The sequence below is a fragment of the Homo sapiens genome, chromosome 22, assembly GCF_000001405.40.
Source record: "Homo sapiens chromosome 22, GRCh38.p14 Primary Assembly".
Classification (NCBI taxonomy): Eukaryota; Metazoa; Chordata; class Mammalia; order Primates; family Hominidae; genus Homo; species Homo sapiens.
The window spans coordinates 35,573,568-35,590,814 of NC_000022.11; the positions used below are offsets into that span (position 1 = coordinate 35,573,568).

Consider the following 17,247-nt stretch of genomic DNA (forward strand, 5'->3'; position numbering starts at 1 on the left):
TCCTTCTTAGCTGTCTTTACTGAGACTAATTTTCACAAACATCGTTTTGAAAAGGAGCCGTAGTGTGCCAAAGCAGGAAGCGCGTGCCCCGGATTCAGGCACGCCGTGGGGCCAGGTGTCCTCGGGAAACTGGTTCTCTGAGCCTCACTTTCTTCATCTGCAAGGTGGGCTGTGTGAACAGAGGGGGCTGGGTCAGAGGACCTCTTATTATCTTAGGGCTCTTTGGCTGAATGCAGAATTTCTTTTCTTTCTTTCTTTTTTCTTTTGTTTTCTTTTCTTTTTGGAGACAGAGTCTTGCTCTGTTGCCCAGGCTGGAGTGCAATGGTGTGATCTCGGCTCACTACAACCTCCACCTCTCCGGTTCAAGCAATTCTCCTGCCTTAGCCTCCCAAGTAGCTGGGATTACAGGTGTATGCCACCACACTCAGCTAATTTTTTGTATTTTTAGTAGAGGTGGGATTTCGCCATGTTGGCCAGGCAGATCTCGAACTCCTGACATGACCTCAGGTGATCTACCTGCCTTGGCCTCCCAAAGTGTTGGGATTACAGGCGTGAGCCACTGCACCTGGCCGAACGCAAAATTTCAAAAGTGTGTTCCTGCCCATCTGCTAGGTTCAAGTTGTTACTGCCTTTGGGGTCCGGGGTCTCGGAGGAGTGATCCCAAAGAATGTCCCCTCTCCCCAGCTCCAAAATCAAGATGGCCTGAGGGTCCCCTCCCAGCCCCTCAAGCCCAGGATTCTGAGCCAGGTTCTCTACCATCCCCTGCCCCCAGCTTTCCCTCTCTGAACCCACCTGGCTCCTTGCTTGCCAGCCCCAGTGCCTTCTTGCTGGTTCTCAAACACATCAAGTGGGTACAGCCCCGGGCTTTGCACGCAGCATGCCCTCCTCCCAGAATGTGCTGGCCCTGATTGTCCATGTGGCTCCCCGCTGACTTCCGTCGGGGTCCTGCTCAAATATCTCCCCTGGAAGAGGCCTTCTCTGATTCTCCCACCTCACGAGCAGCCCAGTTATTCCCCATTTCCTTCCCCTGCTTGGTTTTCCTTCATAGTATTCATCATTATCTGCTCTCCGCCGTCTGACTGCCCCCCACCAGAATAAAGCAGTGGTCTTGCTCATGGCTGTTTCCCCAGCGCCTAGAACCTGGCACATAGTAGGTACTCAGAGGTATTTTTTGAAGGAAGGATTGAATAAGCAAATATGCAGTTCAACAAATATGGACCCTTATTTGTCTGCTTCCCCCAACAAATGTGGAGAAGATTCCCCAAACTTCACCCTCCCCGGCCCCTGGTTTTGCCCAGTAGACACCCCCAGCCCTGGAGGCTTTGCGATGCCCGCCCTGCTCACAGGTTGTTAAAGCTGGTGCAGGTCTCAGAGATCCAGCTGAGGAAAGGGCAGACCAAGGCCTGGAGTGGGTTTAGAGTCCATTCATCGAGCTCAGGCAGGCGCAGAGCTGGGGCCCTGAGCAGCTGTCCTGATGACAAGAAACTGAGATTTCTTCTCCCGCACAGGCCACCGCAGTCCACTCCAAGCCCCCAGCCATGGTCACAGCTAAACTCCTGTCCCTCTGACAAGATGCCGAAGGAGGGCACTTCCTGTCTCAGGCCTGAGTCCCTCTCAGCCTCCAGAGGGGAGCAGGGATGGGGAGGAATTGGTAGTTTTGAGAGCCTGCTAGGGGCTGGGGCTGCCACACACAGCCTCTTCCACTTGTCACCTTCACCACAGCCCCGCGCGGAAGGAGCCATTGTCCCCATTTTGTGGATGAGCAAAGTGAGGCCTGGGGAATGAAGACGCTGGCCCAGCTTGCACACAGAGCCAGGAAATGGCCCAGCAAATCACGTCTCTGTGTTCTAGTCTGTTAAAAGCCATCTGGTGCCGAGGACCGCAGCCTCAGGAGCTCCCTGCCTTCCCCAGAGAGAAAGCTGTCAGTCAGCGGGGGAGCCCATCTCCTCCTCCCTCCCACACCACCCGCTGGTGTCACATGGCATTGGGAGGGAGCAGCACCCACGGGGGTGCCTCCCCCTGGAGGCTGTGCAGGGAGACTTGGGAGCTGCACCTTGTGGGTGGCTGGGGTTTGGGGGGCAGGGGTTGCACACACGTTCAGGGCTGTCACGTGTTCCTACTCTCTGCAGCTTCTCTGGAGGCACGTCAGCCTGCTGGGTCCGCTGTCCCCAGACTGGGACTCCTGCAGAGAAGCCTCCAATGCCAGAAATGGCAGGGAATCTCAGAGACCATCCAGGTCAGCCCCCCTACTTTGCCTGGCTCAGACAAGAATAAAATCTAGAGCTTTGTATGCCAGAAGTGGGGCAAGGATGGGATGAGGTCAGGGTCCTTTAGAGAACACACATAGGGCAGGTCGGTTGAGGCAAGGTCTCCAGTGTCAGACCACCTGCATCCGAGTCCCGGCTCTCTCCTCAATGGTTGACCCTGGATAAATGCCTTCACCTCTCCAAGCCTCCGTTTCCTCATCTACTTTAACAGATCCTAGTTACGGAGTGCTGCTCAGGGACAGGCATGGCTCTGAGCTCTGCACCTGTGTGTCATCCTCCAAGCAACCCTAGGAAGGAGATACTATTGTCATCCTTCTTTAGCTCTGAGGAAACTGACGCACAGAGTGGTTAGCTAACCTGCCCAAGGGCACACAGCTGGGAAGTGATGGAGCCAGGATTTAATTCCAGACAATGAGGCTTTGGGATCCTGGAGCTCCATCACTATTTCATCTGCTGTCTACTGAGGATTAAATGAGGCAAGGAGTACTAAGAACCTAGAACTGTACTGAGTCAGCACTCAAACAATCATTTTTATAATAATGAGGAAGAAGGTCATGGACCCCCAGAAGGTCTGATGAAAGGTAAGGACCTTCCTGGTGGAAGATTTCACACACACACACACACACACACACACACACACACACACACACCCCAAACACTGCCTGCAATTTCATGGGGCCCCTGCTCCAGAAGTCAACCCATCAGTCCCCCTGGGGAAACTCTGCTCAAGTCAGCCCCATTATTTCCTAAGGAAGGGAGAGGAGAGGGTCCACATGTACGTTCCTTCATTTGATCCTCTGAGGTCGATCCACCTCAGGTCCACATGTACTTTCCTTCATTTGATCCTCTGAGGTGGCCATTATTAGCCCATTGCACAGATGAGAAAACCAAGGGCAACGGTGAGGTCCCAGGCAAGCTGGTGGGCAGACGAGACTTTCCTGTCCTAGGGGGCCTGCCGCCTTCTCCTTGGCTGGGTGTTACTTAGTCCAGAAGCCATGGTAAGAAATGGCGCCCGCAGGGCTCGGGCCTGTGGTACACACTCAGTGAAGATTTGTTGAGTGAGTGAGTAAGAGTGAGTGAGTGGGTCAGACTGGGTCGACATGGGGCCAGGCCATGTCCAAGGTCAGAGACTCAGAGCTCCCCTAGCCCAGCTCCTCTCCGGGGTGCTCATGGCTCTTCATGGGGAGGCAGAGGAAGAAGCAAAGGAAGAGCTGTAGGAATCCTGGCTTTTTAAAAGCTACTACTCCAACCCCCAGACAAGAAAATGGGGGCCCCAAGCCTGACTTGATGTATTCAGTCACACCCCGGGATGGCAGGAGCCAGGACTGGAAATCAGGTGTACTGGCACCCATGCCAGAGCTCAGGCAGTGGTGGTCGGAGGGAAGGGGTGCTGAACTCGAGTCAGAACACTTGGGCCACATTCTGCCTGTCATTCATGAGTGCTGTGACTTCAGGCAAACTGCATGGCCAAGTCTCTATTTGCAAAATGGTGATTGTATCTACCTTATAGTCACTGTTAAATCAAGCAGTTTGACAATTGTCTATTGAAAATTGTTTAGTGGCCGGGCGCGGTGGTTCACGCCTGTAATCCCAGCACTTTGGGAGGCCGAGGTGGGCAGATCGTGAGGCCAGGAGATGGAGACTGTCCTGGCTAACATGGTGAAACCCCATCTCTACTAAAAATACAAAAAATCAGCCGGGTGTGGTGGCATGCGCCTATAGTCCTAGCTACTCTGGAGGCTGAGGCAGAAGAATCACTTGAATCCAGGAGGCAGAGGTTGCAGTGAGCCAAGATCGCACCACTGCACTCCAGCCTGTGTGACAGAGCGAGACTCCATCTCCAAAAAATTATAATAAATAAAAATAAAAGTTGTTTAGCATTTTCTCCTCATTTGTCAAATGAGGATAGGTTAATGTGAGAATGTAGGAAATTCCCTGATGTAAAACAAATGTTCTGTAATTGGTAGCTTTTACTATTATTGGCAGCTATTATTACAATGTTGAGCATACAGGATAGGCCTCTATAAATGTCCCATGAATGGGTGGATGAACCAACAGACAGGCTAATAAGTTGTTTGGCAGACCAGTGGGAAGTGGGGTGGAGAGATGGATGAATGGGAGGAAGGTGGATTGATGGATGGGTGAGTGGGAAGTCGGCAAGAGGGTAGGTGGGTGGATGGATAGATAGACCAATTGACAGGCAGAGAGGTCTGTTTTGGGGAAGACCAATAGGTAGATGAGAGAGAGTGTAAGATGGACAAATGGCTGGCTGGATGAGTGAGAGGATGGACCAATAGTAATCAGACAGAAAGACTGGTGGTTTTTCAGAGCATGGAAGGAAGGAAGGAAGGCGGGAGGGAAGGAAGGAAGGTGGATGTGTGGGTGGATGGATGGATGGCTGGCTGGCTGGATGGATGGTGGATGGTGAACAGATGGAAGGAAGGAAGGTGGATGGATGGGTGGATAGATGGATGGATGGATGATGGATGGGTGGGTGGGTAGATAGATGGATGGATGGATGCTGGATGGATGGATGGGTGGGTGGATGGATGGATGGCTGGCTGGATGGATGGATGGTGGATGGATGGGTGGATAGATGGATAGATGGATGGATGGATGGTGGATGGATGGGTGGGTGGATGGATTGATGGAGAGATGAATGGATGGATGGATGGATGGATGGATATGTGAGTGGAATCATTGGGTAGGTGGGTGGAGAGATAAATGCATGGACCAATAAGCAGGCAGATAGAGAGGTGGGAGGACAGAAGACCAGGATGTGGATGGATGGCAGATATTCCTTCCCCTTGAACTGAAGCCAGAGGGATGATGGCAGCAGCTACAGCCTTACCATGGGCATCCTGAGGGTGAGGAAGAGAGGTAGGAGATGATTGTTCACCCAGGGCACCCCTGGAATGAGGCAGTGAGCAGTTGCTTACTGTACCCCAACATCCAAGGTTGGAATGGAAGCCCTAGGAGTGAGATGAGTGGGAGGAAGACACCCGGGCCCACACTCACACGCACACTCCCCTCAACACGGCATGCAGCAGGAGGTCGCCTGGGAGGGGCCCTGCACCCACACCAGAGCAGCAGGCTGCACAGCTTCTTCAGAAAGCGTCAGAGCCACAGCAGAGGAGGACCTCAGCTGCAGAGGCCTTCAGCAGGGCAATCCCAGTGTGCCCCTGGGGACTCCCTGGGTCTCAGCCAGAAGAACAAAATGTCCCCAGTGGGGGACCGTGGCTGCCTCGTGACCATTCCACTTCTCAGATGGCGACCCAGGGTCCAAGGGCCTATTTCAGGCCTTGCGGGTTTTGTTGACAACGAGGCCACCTTGCGATAGCCCCATTTCACGAAAGTGGAAGCTGAAGTCCACCAGTGGATACCATGGTCTGCAGGCTTGGCTGTACCCCCACCATCTCTTTGGTTTCTCCTGGGCCTTGTCCCACTGCTCACCCAACTTGGCCTCTCTGGTGTGGCTTGAACACTCCAGGCAGCCCCACCCCACTTGCTCTTCCGCCTACCTGGTAGGCTTTTCCGCCGAGGACCAACGCGGCCACACCCTCACTTCCTGCATTGCCTGTTTATGGTGCAAGGACTTTTGTCCGTTGGGTTCCTGATGCCCGGTGCATACTCAGGTATCATTTGCTGTAATCCAGTAACCCATGCAGGGATGGTGAGGGTGAGCAATAGTGAGGTGTTGCCCATGTGCCAGGCACAGTGCTCACTCATTTATCCACACAGTGCCACCATGAAGTAGATGCAGTTGCTATCTGCTCCCCTGCAGATGGGAACTCAGAGGCTCAGAGAAGGGGTTTGCTCAAGGTCCCACAGCAAGGCTGCCGCTAGAACATGCTAGAGTCATGTCGAGGGTCATCCCACAAGAGCTTAGGTCCCGAAGCTAGTGGAGTTCTAGCATTGCCACCATGGGACGTTGACCTTGGCAAGTCCCCTCTTTTCTCTGAGCCTTGTTTTTTTTTTTTTTTTTCTGAGATGGAGTCTTGCTCTGTCGCCCAGGCCAGAGTGCAGTGGCGCGATCTCGGCTCACTGCAACCTCTGCCTCCCGTGTTCAAGCAATTCTCCTGCCTCAGCCTCCCGAGAAGCTGGGATTACAGATGCCCGCCACCACACCCAGCTAATTTTTGTATTTTTAGTAGAGATGGGGTTTCACCATGTTGGCCAGGCTGGTCTCAAATTCCCGACCTCATGATCTGCTCACCTCGGCCTCCCAAAGTGCTGGGATTACAGGCGTGAGCCACTGTGCCCGGCCCTGAGCCTTGATGTTTTCATCTGTAAAATGGGACAGTAACAGCCTCTCCTTGGCAGGGCTGTTTTGAGAATCAAGGCTGGCAGTGGTGTGAATGTTTTATGGAAAAGAATCATGCCTGTGTCGCTGGGTGTTACGGCGCTACCTGTGTCTCCAGCTGCCTGAGCAGAGAGAGCCCGTGGGGCCCCTTGGTCTGTCACACAAGCCCAGGGTTCCAGGCTCAATTTAGGATAATCCAGAATAATGCTACCAACTGGCTGCAGATCAGAGGTCAAATTCCTTTTTCTGGGCCCCTCTTTCCTCCCAGCTCCACTGGGACGCTGCCTCCAGGGGACTTCTCACAGCTGTCTGGACCAGACCTGCCTGGGAGGAACAGGGTGAGCGGGGACAGGAAGGCCTCGGACTTTTCCCAGGCTGAAGACCTCCAAGAAGCCACTCTCCCATTCCTCCGCTCCAGCTGGGCAGGCTTCTGATGTGGCTTTCCCAGACCCTGCTGGCCCCTGTCTGCAGCGGATACACACAGAGGAACAGCGCTCAAGAGGGGGAGGGAAGGGCCTTTGAATAGGAGGACTCATGAGGGCTCCAGGCCTGCACACACCCTGTCAGCTTGGGGTGCAGGTTGCAGATCTCTCAGGCAATGCCAGGCCTCAGTTTCCTCACCTGGAAAATGGGTTTGGACTGGATGACTTCACCCAGGATGCCCAGTGCTAGACACTAGAACAGACCGAGCAGCCCAGGACCTTCCCCCAAGTTCGCTCCCTGGACCCCTTTCACCTCTGCAAGATAGGGGCCATTCCCTACCTCTGGCCTCAGTCTCCACCTCTGTAAAATGGGCTGGCTGAACTGGAAGATCCCGGAGGGTCCTTTCCTCTCTGCCATTCTGTTGTAGCTGGAAAAGGAAAACGGGGTAGTGCTGGGAAGGAAAGAACATTTAGTGAGCTGCAACTGTATACCGGGTGTTTTTATACGTTATCTCAGTTCTCTGTGCCTTATTTTCCTATTGCTTCTGTAACAACTTACTATAAACTTGGTAAATTAAAACAACACACATTTATCACCTTATAATTCTAGAGGTCAGAAGTCCAAAACTAGTGTCACTGTGTTAAAGGCGTCAGCAGGGCTGGTTTTCCTTGTCTTTCAAGATAGAATCAATGCTCTCTTCATTCCCACATCACATGGTCTTTTCTCCCGTTTCCTCAGTCTCATCTCTTTCTCTCTCTTTTTTTTTTTTTTTTTTTGAGATGGAGTTTTGCTCTTGTTGCCCAGGCTGGAGTACAGTGGTGCTATCTCGGCTCACTGCAACCTCCCCTTCCTGGGTTCAAGTGATTCTCCTGCTGAAGCCTCCCAAGTAGTTGGGATTACAGGTGCATGCCACCACACCCAGCTAATTTTTGTATTTTTAGTAGAGACAGAGTTTCACCATGTTGGTCAGGCTGGTCTCGAACTCCTGACCTCAGGTGATCTCTCTGCCTTGGCTTCCCAAACTGTTGGGATTATAGGCATGAGCCACCATGCCTGGTCATCTCATCTCTTTCTTCCTACTGCCACATGCCTGCCTCCCTCATAGAAGGATCCTTGTGGGGACATTAGGCTCACCTGACCAATCCAGGATAATGTCCCTATCTCCAGATCCTTAACTTAATTACATCTGCAGAATTCCCTTTGCTGGATAAGGTACGATTCACAGGTATTTGGGGGATTAGGACGTGGGTATCTTTGGAGGACTCTCACTCAGCTTGCCACATCCGTTCACACAAGGCTGTCATGGAGCTCAGCTTCCAACCCCAGTGCCTGTGACTTTGTAGCTGTGTGGCCTTGGGCAATGACCTAACTTCCTTGGCTCTCAGTCTCCTCATCCATAAAACAGAGGTAATGATGAGGATTATTAAGACAGTGCAGGGGCCAAGCACAGTGGCTCACACCTGTAATCCCAGAACTTTGGGAGGCCGAGGCGGGTGGATCACCTAAGATCAGGAGTTGGAGACCAGCCTGACCAACATGGAGAAACCCCGTCTCTACTAAAAAAACAAAAATTAGCCAGGTATGGTGGCAGGTGCCTGTAATCCCAGCTACTTGGGAGGCTGAGGCAGGAGAATCATTTGAACCTGCGAGTTGGAGGTTGTGGTGAGCCGAGATGTACCATTGCACTCCAGCCTGGGCAACAAGAGCGAAACTCCATCTCAAAAAAAAAAAGAGTGCAGAGGACTCTCTGAACACGGGGTCTGCTGCTGCTGCTGAGTGAATGTATACAGTGATAGTAACGCTGATAATGAATCACCCTTGTTTATTGCAGCTACTCGTACCAGACACTGAGCTGAGTGTTGAGTTTATGTAGGTGAGCCACGTTGACATGAGCCTGGCCCTCGTGGAACGTACTAGAGAACCAGGAAGACAGACTTAGAATAAATAGTCACACAAATCATTAGGGAATTATCAGAGCAGCCCAAAGCCACACAGCTGGGAAGAGGAGAAGTGGGTGGGATTCACACCCAAGTCTGTCTGATTCCCAAGCCCTTATTTTTCCATGATACTCCCAGCCTCTTGAGGCTGGTGGAGGCCAAGCCGAGGACCAGAGATGGGAAATGACTTGCCAAAGGTCACACAGTGAGAGAACAGTCCATTGCAGACCCAGATCTCTGGGCATCCTGCCTAAGGCTCCTCCCAGAGGAGATTCTGAGACGTAATACTAAATTACAAAGTAACACTAATAACTAGTGTGGCAGCTAATGCTGTGGAAGCTTGCTCTGTGCCCGGAGGCAGAATGGACATTTTACGTGCCCAGTATCATTCAGTTTCCACGATGCACAGGAGAAGAGACTTGGTACCCTATTTCACAGAGAAAGAACCTGAAGTCTCAAAGGGGTGCTATGAAATGCCTAGGGTCACCAGCGAACTAACTGCTAAGCAGAGAGCCAGGATGTTCTCTAAGAGCAGGGCCTGGCTCAGAACTCCCCAGTTCAAATTTGTCTGACCCCCACCCCTGTCCCTAACTCCTGCACATCCTGCCTGCGCCCACTGGCAGATCTTCAGGGGCTCCTGCCAGTGGGAGGAGGGAGGTGGCTGTGGTCCTTAGGGTGTAATCCCACAGGTGGAATTCCTCCTGAGGTCAGCCTGCAGGGAGACGGGTGACACGCTGGTGCCATCTAGTGGCCTTAAAGAGACATGCTGCTTCCCCCGGGAGCCGCAAGGTACCCCACAGAGATGCAGGGAGATAGTAATACATAAGGTCCTCATCCTCCACCCAGCTGGACCCCGGTAGCAAACTGACAAAGCTGAGCTAAAAGTGTTCGAAATGATCCTCCTCATTTTGCAGCTGAGGAAACAGAGGTTCAGAGAGGAGACCGACACACCCCAGCCCAGTCAGGGGCAGACGCAGGTGGCTGGAGGGACTGGCAGGGAGGTGGGGCTTGCCCTGAGCCTTAGCAGGGAGTCTGTCCAGCCACTGGGAGGCCAGGACAAGACAAGTGAGCTCTTCGTGGAGACTCCAGTTTTGGTCTGGGGATGGGTAGGGGGCACTGGCCTGGGACAAGGAGGAGGGTATGGCTAGTAGGAGCTGGATTATGGGCCAGTGCCTGAGGAAGGGAGGAAGAAGGCTGGTAAGAGACAGAGTGTCCTGGATGATCACCAAGGCTCCTCCGTAGAGAAATCCCATGATCTAAGGCCAAACATGGCTGGAGAAACCCCAGGATTCTTAGAAACAAACATGGCTAATGAAATTCCATCATTCTAAGGGACAAACATGGCTGGAGAAATCCCAAGATTCTAAGAGGCATAGGAACTTGATACATTGTTCATTCCATCAACAAACCATCACTGACCATGCACTCTGGGCCTTCCCCATAAGGGACGCTCAAGACCCACAGACCAACCAGATCTGGTCCCTGCTCTGCCGGATTCCACAGCCCAGTGGGGCAAATAAACAGATGACAGACTCTCAGAACCGGACAAGATAAATTCAAGTGGCCCCCCAGAGGGCCATAGGCTCTGCAGCCAGACAGATCTAGCTGATGATGTTAGCAAAAATAGCGGAAGGGCCGAGCGTGGTAGTGCACATCTGTAGTCCCAGCTACTCCGCAGGAGGATTACCTGAGCCCAAGAGTCAGAGGCTGTAGTGTGCCATGATCACACAGGTGAATAGCCACTGCACTCCAGCCTGGGCAACATAGCAAGATCCTATCTCTCTTTTGTTTTGTTTTGTTTTTGAGACGGAGTCTTGCTCTGTCGCCCAGGCTGGAGTGCAGTGGCGTGACCTTGGCTCACTGCAAGCTCCGCCTCCCGGGTTCACGCCATTCTCCTGCCTCAGCCTCCCAAGTAGCTGGGACTACAGGCACCCGCCACCACGCCTGGCTAATTTTTTGTATTTTTAGTAGAGACGGGGTTTCACCGTGTTGCCCAGGCTGGTCTCGAACTCCTGACCTCAGGTGATCCGCCCACCTCAGTCTCCCAAAGTGCTGGGATTACAGGCGTGAGCCACCGTGCCCGGCCCAATCCTATCTCTGCAAAAAAATTGTGGAGTGGCTAACATTTATTGAGTGCCTACTATATGCCAGGCACTAGTATAAGCACTTTTGATTAGCTAATTTAGTGAAACCCAGACTTTCTCTGACTAGCCATGTGACTTTTGGTAAATTACTTAGCCTCTCCAACCCTCCAGATTCTCGTCTGTAAAACAGGAGCCACGTGCCTACCTTGCTAGGCTATTGTGAGGTTAAAACGAAGTTTTGTGTGTGGGTGTGTGTGTGTATTTGTGTGTTACCTGGAATATAGTAAGTGCTCTATAGATGGTAGCCACCATTGAAATAGTAAGTGCTGTAATGCAGGAATGCCGAAGAGTTCCCACGATCTCATGCCTATCTGGAATTATCCTTTCTTTTTCTTTTCTTTTTTTTTTTTTTTGAGACGGAGTCTTGCTCTGTTGACCAGGCTAGAGTGCAATGGTGTGATCTCGGCTCACTACAACCTCCACCTCCCAGGTTCAAATGATTCTCCTGCCTCAACCTCCTGAGTAGCTGGGATTATAGGCATCTGCCACCACGCCCTGCTAATTTTTTATATTTTTTAGTAGAGATGGGGTTTCGCCATGTTTGGCCAGGCTGGTCTTGAACTTTTGACCTCAGGTGATCCACCCACCTCAGCCTCCCAAAGTGCTGGGATTACAGGCCTAAGCCATTGCGCCCGGCCCTTTTGGTGTTATCTTAGGGATGGGGGTAGTTGCATCTGAGGTCAGGGAGAGGAGGGAAGGGGAAAGCTCCCTGGAAAGGAGTGGAGACTTGGCCAGGACCTGGAAAGGGCAGGAGCCACCGCCCTCTTCCCCTCCTCTGCCCCTCCCCACCTTCTGCTCAGCTCCCCCTTCCCCTCTGGGGCACACCTCATCCCCTCCATTCGTATACCTGTTGCCCTGGGCCTGACCTCACCATCCCTTGCTTGGCCTTGTGTTTCCACTGGCCTCCCTGCCTCCACTCCTTCCTCCCTGTACCCAGAGGAAACTCCTACCACCAAATCTGTCCGTCCCTGCCTCCTCCGGCCCTCCTGCTCATTGATCCCACCCCACAGGAAAGCCCACTCAACTGTGACGGGCAAGGCCCACCCCATTCATTACATGAGTCTGTTTCCCCATCTCCTTCCTTGCGTCCACAGAGACCAGAGTTCCAGCCACCTGGAACTACATGGAGCTACCTGCTGTCCCCTGCAGACCCTGTGCTCCCTCCAGCCCCTATTGGCCGCCTAGAAGTTTCTCTGCCCACTCATCTCTCCAGATGGCTGTGCCACTCCCGGGGAAGCCTTCCCAGGCACCCCTCCCCTGCGGGGTCAGGAAGATCACCCTCCTCCCCCTTTCTCTCCCCCCCGCTGTGTTCCCAGACCCTGTCCAGGGTGTTCCAATGCTTGTCTTATGTGCCCATCTCCCATACTAGATCATTGCCTTCCATTAGGTGACACCACTGCTAGGAAATGCTTCAGATAGTGCCTCCCTCCATGTTAGGCCTCACAGTTATAACTCGGGCCAGGTCTTTGTCATCTTTGCGTGCCACTGTTGAATCGTGATGATGACACTCACATTTCTGAGCACTTGGTGCACCAGGCACTGCACTATGGACTTCACTCAAAGTATCTCCCTTAATCCCTCCAACCCCATAGGTGGTAGGACCTGTTATTATCCCCTTTTTTAGATGAGGAAACTGAGGTCAAAGAGGGTGGCCAAGAGGCATTAAAACCAGGCAGGCCAGATCCAGGGGCCACCACATTGCCACCTCTCTGAGTGTGCCTATGCTGTTCCACTGCCTGCAACACCCTCTTTCACTGCCTGGCCCCTGGTGGGCTCGTTTCACCCTCGGGCCTCAATCCCAAAGCCCCCTCCTTGGAGAAGCCTTTTCTATAACACCCTGTTATACAGCATCATGCCACTCTGTCTGTTTGCTTTGTAGAATATGTCTCAAGGTATTTCTTTGAGTTTGCTGTCTGTTGTTCTTTTGTACTCAACGTGCACGCACACACACAGCCACAAACACACATAGTCGTACTTGACTGTGAGAGCAATCACCGTGATTTCGCTTACTGCTGCATCCCTAAAGCAAAACAGAGTTTAGCCAGCCTCCCAGAGGGTCCCCAGAGATCCTGGCTTCTTGGTATGCACACCTTTGTGGAGTCCGCTTCCACGCTGAGCAGAGGACCTGTGCTACTGAGAGGACACTGTGTAAATGCCAAAGTGAGACCTCTGAGGCTGGGTCATGAAAGATATTGCACTTCCTCCTTGGCTCTCTTGGACCACTTGCTCTGGGAGAATACAGCTGCCATGTTGGGAAGACACTCAAGCAGCATTGTGGAGAGATCCACATGGTGAGGGACTGAGGCCTCTGGCCCACAGCCAGCATGACCTGGCCAGCCTTGTGAGGGAGCCACCTTGGAAGTGGATCCTCTCTCCTGTCCAGCCTTAGATGACTGCAGCCCTGACCAACATCCTGCCCACAACTTCATGAGGGATCCTGAGCCAGAACCACCCAGCCAAGCCAGTCCCAAATTCCTGATCCTCACACCTTGTGTGCAAGAAGAAATGCTGATTGTTTTAAGCCACTACGTTTTGGAGTACCTTGTTATGGAGCAAAATTGAATCCAACACTTTCTAAGTAGTTGTTGTATAAAGAGGTGGAGAGATGGATGCTGAATGAGAATAACAATGATTCTCACTCCCTGAGCCCTCTCTGTGTGCTAGGCATAGTGCTAAGTACTTTACATGTGAAACCGTCACACAGCCTTATGAGAAGGCTGCTACCCTCTACCCATTTTATAGATGGAGAAATAGGAACAGTGAGGTTAAATTACTCACCCAACATCCCACCAGCAGTCCTGGGGCTTTGCACCCTGGCAGATTGGGACCAGAGGCTTCACTGCCACATGGCACTGTCTGGGTGTCTCTTGACTCTTCCCAGACCCCCTCTCAGGCTCACTGGGGGCCTGGAAGAGCTCACTGTCACAGTCCGCGTGGCATGCATGCCCTGCAGAGCTAGGAATGCATGGCTCATGGCCTGGTGCCAGTGCCTCTTGTCCCACTGCTGGGAACACTGCCCTGTCACCTACCGGTAGAAGCCAGTTGGACAGAGCAGAAGGAAGAGGATGGCTTCTGTCCAGCCACACCCCATGGGACCAAGTGGCTGTAGGGGCAGGAGTGGGGGTCAGAGAGCTCAGATTCCAGCCGGCTCGTCATGCTGGTCTCCTTAGCAAACCTCCTAAGGTTACACACCCCAGGGTTCTGGCTGGACTCAGAGCCTTCGTCCTCTGGATCTGAAATGATATGGTTGGGACAGAGCTGGAAGTAACAACGGAAAACCCTGAGCCCTTCTTGTCCTCTGAGCAACGGAGGCTAAAAGGATGTTGGGGCCCAGGGAGCATGTAGCACTCAGGCCCACACCATCGTGAGAAGATAGTTGGGCTGGCACAGAGCTGGATGCCTTCTGAGAGGGTACAAGGGGCCTGGGCACAGGATGCCTGGGTCCAGGTCTGGTCTCTATCCGTCACAGTCACTGTGTGACTTCAGGCAAGTTCCTTAACCTCTCTGTGCCTCTAAACAATTCATCTGAACACATGCAGGTGGCAATAGCACCTATTCCCTGAGAATGAATGAGCCTGGTATGAGACAAACACTCATGTGTGCCGGGATGTTTGGTTTTCATAGCACTAACCTTTCCAACAACCTTGCAAGGCAGGTACCATTACTGCCATCTGCCCATGAAGAAACCGAGGTTTGGTTAGGTTAAGTCACTCTCACGGGCCACACACAGCCAGTCTGAGGTGAAGACAGTCAGGATTCAAACCCAAACGAGGTCCTTACCTCTGTGCCACCCTGCTCCTGTTCATTTTTGAGCCTCAGTGCCAGCCACTATGTGTGATCCCTGTTAGACACAATCACTGCTGTCTAGCAAACAGACAGAGTGGGTTGCTTGGGGAAGCAGGGAGCTCCCCATCCCTCCAGAGGTATGCAAGCATAGCCTGGGTGCGGTGGAGGCCTTAAGCATTGGGTCTGGTGTTGAATCCAGTGCCATTTAAGGCCCCTGCTACCCCTAGATTCTGGGGTTCTTCACTATCCTCCCCCAAAGACAGAGAGGGCTTAGCAGGGGAAACTGAAGCCCAGAGCCAGGATATGCCCAAGGTTACTTCATCAAGACGCTGTTGAACCCACCCTCCATCACGCCAGGAGAAAGGCGGGCCCCTTCCTCCAAGGGCCAGGAGAAGGAATAGGGGTAAAAAAAGAAGCCACAGGACCATGGGCAAGGTGAGGGTGAATCCTGAAGACAAAGGTGGCCACTCGGTGGGTGTTCAGAGCCAGGGAGCAGGTGAAGGTTGTCAGAAACAAGGTGAGTGTCAGACACCTTGGACTTCTTTTGGTTCAGTCCCCTCATTTGACAGATGAACAAATCAAGGCCATGGGGGGCCGATCCTCCTGTCCCAGATCCGTAATGCCATGTAGGGCACAGGCTGCTGCGGAAATAAGAGGAAAGGATGTGAAGGAGGTGGGCTGGACTTCACAAAGCCTGCCACTCTGGCACAAAGTGGATGGGATACGGGGTCTCTGGCCCACACTCTGCCCCTGCCCATGCCTCCCTCCTAGCAGATGATGAGCTATTTTCCAAGCATGTAGGATGCACTAAACCCTTCTTGAGGTGTCCTCATAAATTTGAGCCTAACAGCCGCCTGTGAGATAAGGACTGGGAATTTCATCATCTACATTTCTTCAGAAGAGGAAACTGCTGCCAGAGAGGTGAAATCACTTGCCCGAGGCCACAGAGCCAGCCAGGAAGGAGTGAAGCTTAGCAGTGGCCCCTGAGACCTCAGTCACCCTGGACTGGCGTTCCCCTTCCTGGGAGTAAGGGATGAGCACACTGGGTGAGAAAATCTCAGCCTCCGCCCTCTGGAAAATGACTCAGTTCTGGCCCCTGGTCAGGACATGGGGTAGGTGGCCAGACAGCCACAAGGTTGGGCTGTAAGCCTCTAGCGCCCAGGCAGCCCCGCTGCCACCCAGAGCAAGTCACACTCATACGCTCTCCTCAGTTAAAGTGCACAGGCTGAGTGCGGTGACTCAAGCCTGTAAACTCAGCACTGTGGGAGGCCAAGGCAGGAGGATCGCTTGAGGCCAGGAGTTCAGGACCAGCCCAGGCAACATAGTGAGACCCACCCCATCTCTACTAAAAATAAACAAATTTAGCCAGGCGTGGTGGCATGCACCTCTAGTCCCAGCTACTCGGAAGGCTGAGGTAGGAGGATTGCTTGAACTTGGGAGCCTGAGATTGCAACACTGCACTCCAGCCTGGGCAACAGAGTGAGATCTTGTCTCAAAAACAAACAAACAAAAACAAAGTGCACAGTTCAGTGAGTCTTAGCATATCCACAGGTGTGCAACCAGCACCACATCCACTTTAGAACATTTTCACCACCCCCCGAAAGAAACCCAGAAGCACTTAGCCCCCGTCGCCACAACCCGCCTCACCTCTAGCCCTGGACAGCCACATATCTACTTTCCGTATCTATCAATTTGCCTCTTCTGGGTGTTTCATATAAATGGAATCACACGATATATGGCCTTTTTGCAGGCACCGCTTTTTGAAGTCTTACAATAACATTTTGCAATAAAAACAGTGTTCTCTCAATTTTATTTTATTTTATTTATTTATTTTTGAGACAGAGTCTTCTCTGTTACCCAGGCTGGAGTCCAATGGTGCGATCTCGGCTCACTGCAACCTCCGTCTCCCGGGCTCAAGCAATTCTCCTGCCTCAGCATTCTGAGTAGCTGGGATTACAGGTGCCCGCCACCACGCCCAGCTAATTTGTGTATTTTTAGTAGAGACAGGATTTCGCCATGATGGCCAGGCTGGTCTTGAACTCCTGACCCCAGGTGATCCACCTGCCTCGGCCTCCCAAAGTGCTGGGATTACAGGCATGAGCCAGCATGCGTGGCCTGTTCTCTCAACTTTATAGATGAGGAAACTGAGGCTCAGAGTGGTTCAGAGCTTGCCCAAGGTCACCCGGCTCAGAAATGGTGGGTGGGATCTGGAATACGTCTGTCTGACTCCAGAGAACCTCAGCCACCCTTCTTAGGGCCAGAATCCAGAGTGGCCAGACAGCTTCAGGGGCCTAGGTTCAGGGATCTAGGACTGGAAGAAAGGCTGGGAGGGTCGGGGAGTTTGTGAGTCCTGAGGGCCAGGGCTGGAGGGTGAAGGGCCTGGGGAG

General features: G+C 52.7%; 1 long non-coding RNA gene across 1 annotated transcript, besides 5 other annotated features; it reads right to left on the minus strand.

The window, feature by feature from the left end:
* LOC107985590 (uncharacterized) lies at nt 1-15,209 on the minus strand. The gene is made up of 5 exons (XR_007068163.1): nt 15,203-15,209; nt 14,161-14,307; nt 13,853-14,099; nt 7,333-7,444; nt 1-169 (listed from the first exon to the last, which is right to left on the minus strand). It is a non-coding gene; the product is annotated as an uncharacterized LOC107985590 (long non-coding RNA).
* Nucleotides 1,950-2,069: an enhancer, noted in NCBI's record as "active region_18910". NCBI's record gives its function as "activates an Ori minimal core promoter by ATAC-STARR-seq in GM12878 lymphoblastoid cells {active_cell/tissue: GM12878}" and the evidence as "EXISTENCE:reporter gene assay evidence [ECO:0000049][PMID:35858748]".
* Nucleotides 6,969-7,468: an enhancer, noted in NCBI's record as "H3K4me1 hESC enhancer chr22:35976583-35977082 (GRCh37/hg19 assembly coordinates)". NCBI's record gives its function as "activates a minimal SCP1, AML or CMV promoter by ChIP-STARR-seq in naive H9 embryonic stem cells {active_cell/tissue: H9 hESC(naive)}" and the evidence as "EXISTENCE:reporter gene assay evidence [ECO:0000049][PMID:30033119]".
* Nucleotides 9,443-9,944: an enhancer, noted in NCBI's record as "H3K4me1 hESC enhancer chr22:35979057-35979558 (GRCh37/hg19 assembly coordinates)". NCBI's record gives its function as "activates a minimal SCP1, AML or CMV promoter by ChIP-STARR-seq in primed H9 embryonic stem cells {active_cell/tissue: H9 hESC(primed)}" and the evidence as "EXISTENCE:reporter gene assay evidence [ECO:0000049][PMID:30033119]".
* Nucleotides 9,684-9,763: a silencer, noted in NCBI's record as "silent region_13658". NCBI's record gives its function as "represses an Ori minimal core promoter by ATAC-STARR-seq in GM12878 lymphoblastoid cells {active_cell/tissue: GM12878}" and the evidence as "EXISTENCE:reporter gene assay evidence [ECO:0000049][PMID:35858748]".
* Nucleotides 15,658-16,633: an enhancer, noted in NCBI's record as "H3K27ac-H3K4me1 hESC enhancer chr22:35985272-35986247 (GRCh37/hg19 assembly coordinates)". NCBI's record gives its function as "activates a minimal SCP1, AML or CMV promoter by ChIP-STARR-seq in primed H9 embryonic stem cells {active_cell/tissue: H9 hESC(primed)}" and the evidence as "EXISTENCE:reporter gene assay evidence [ECO:0000049][PMID:30033119]".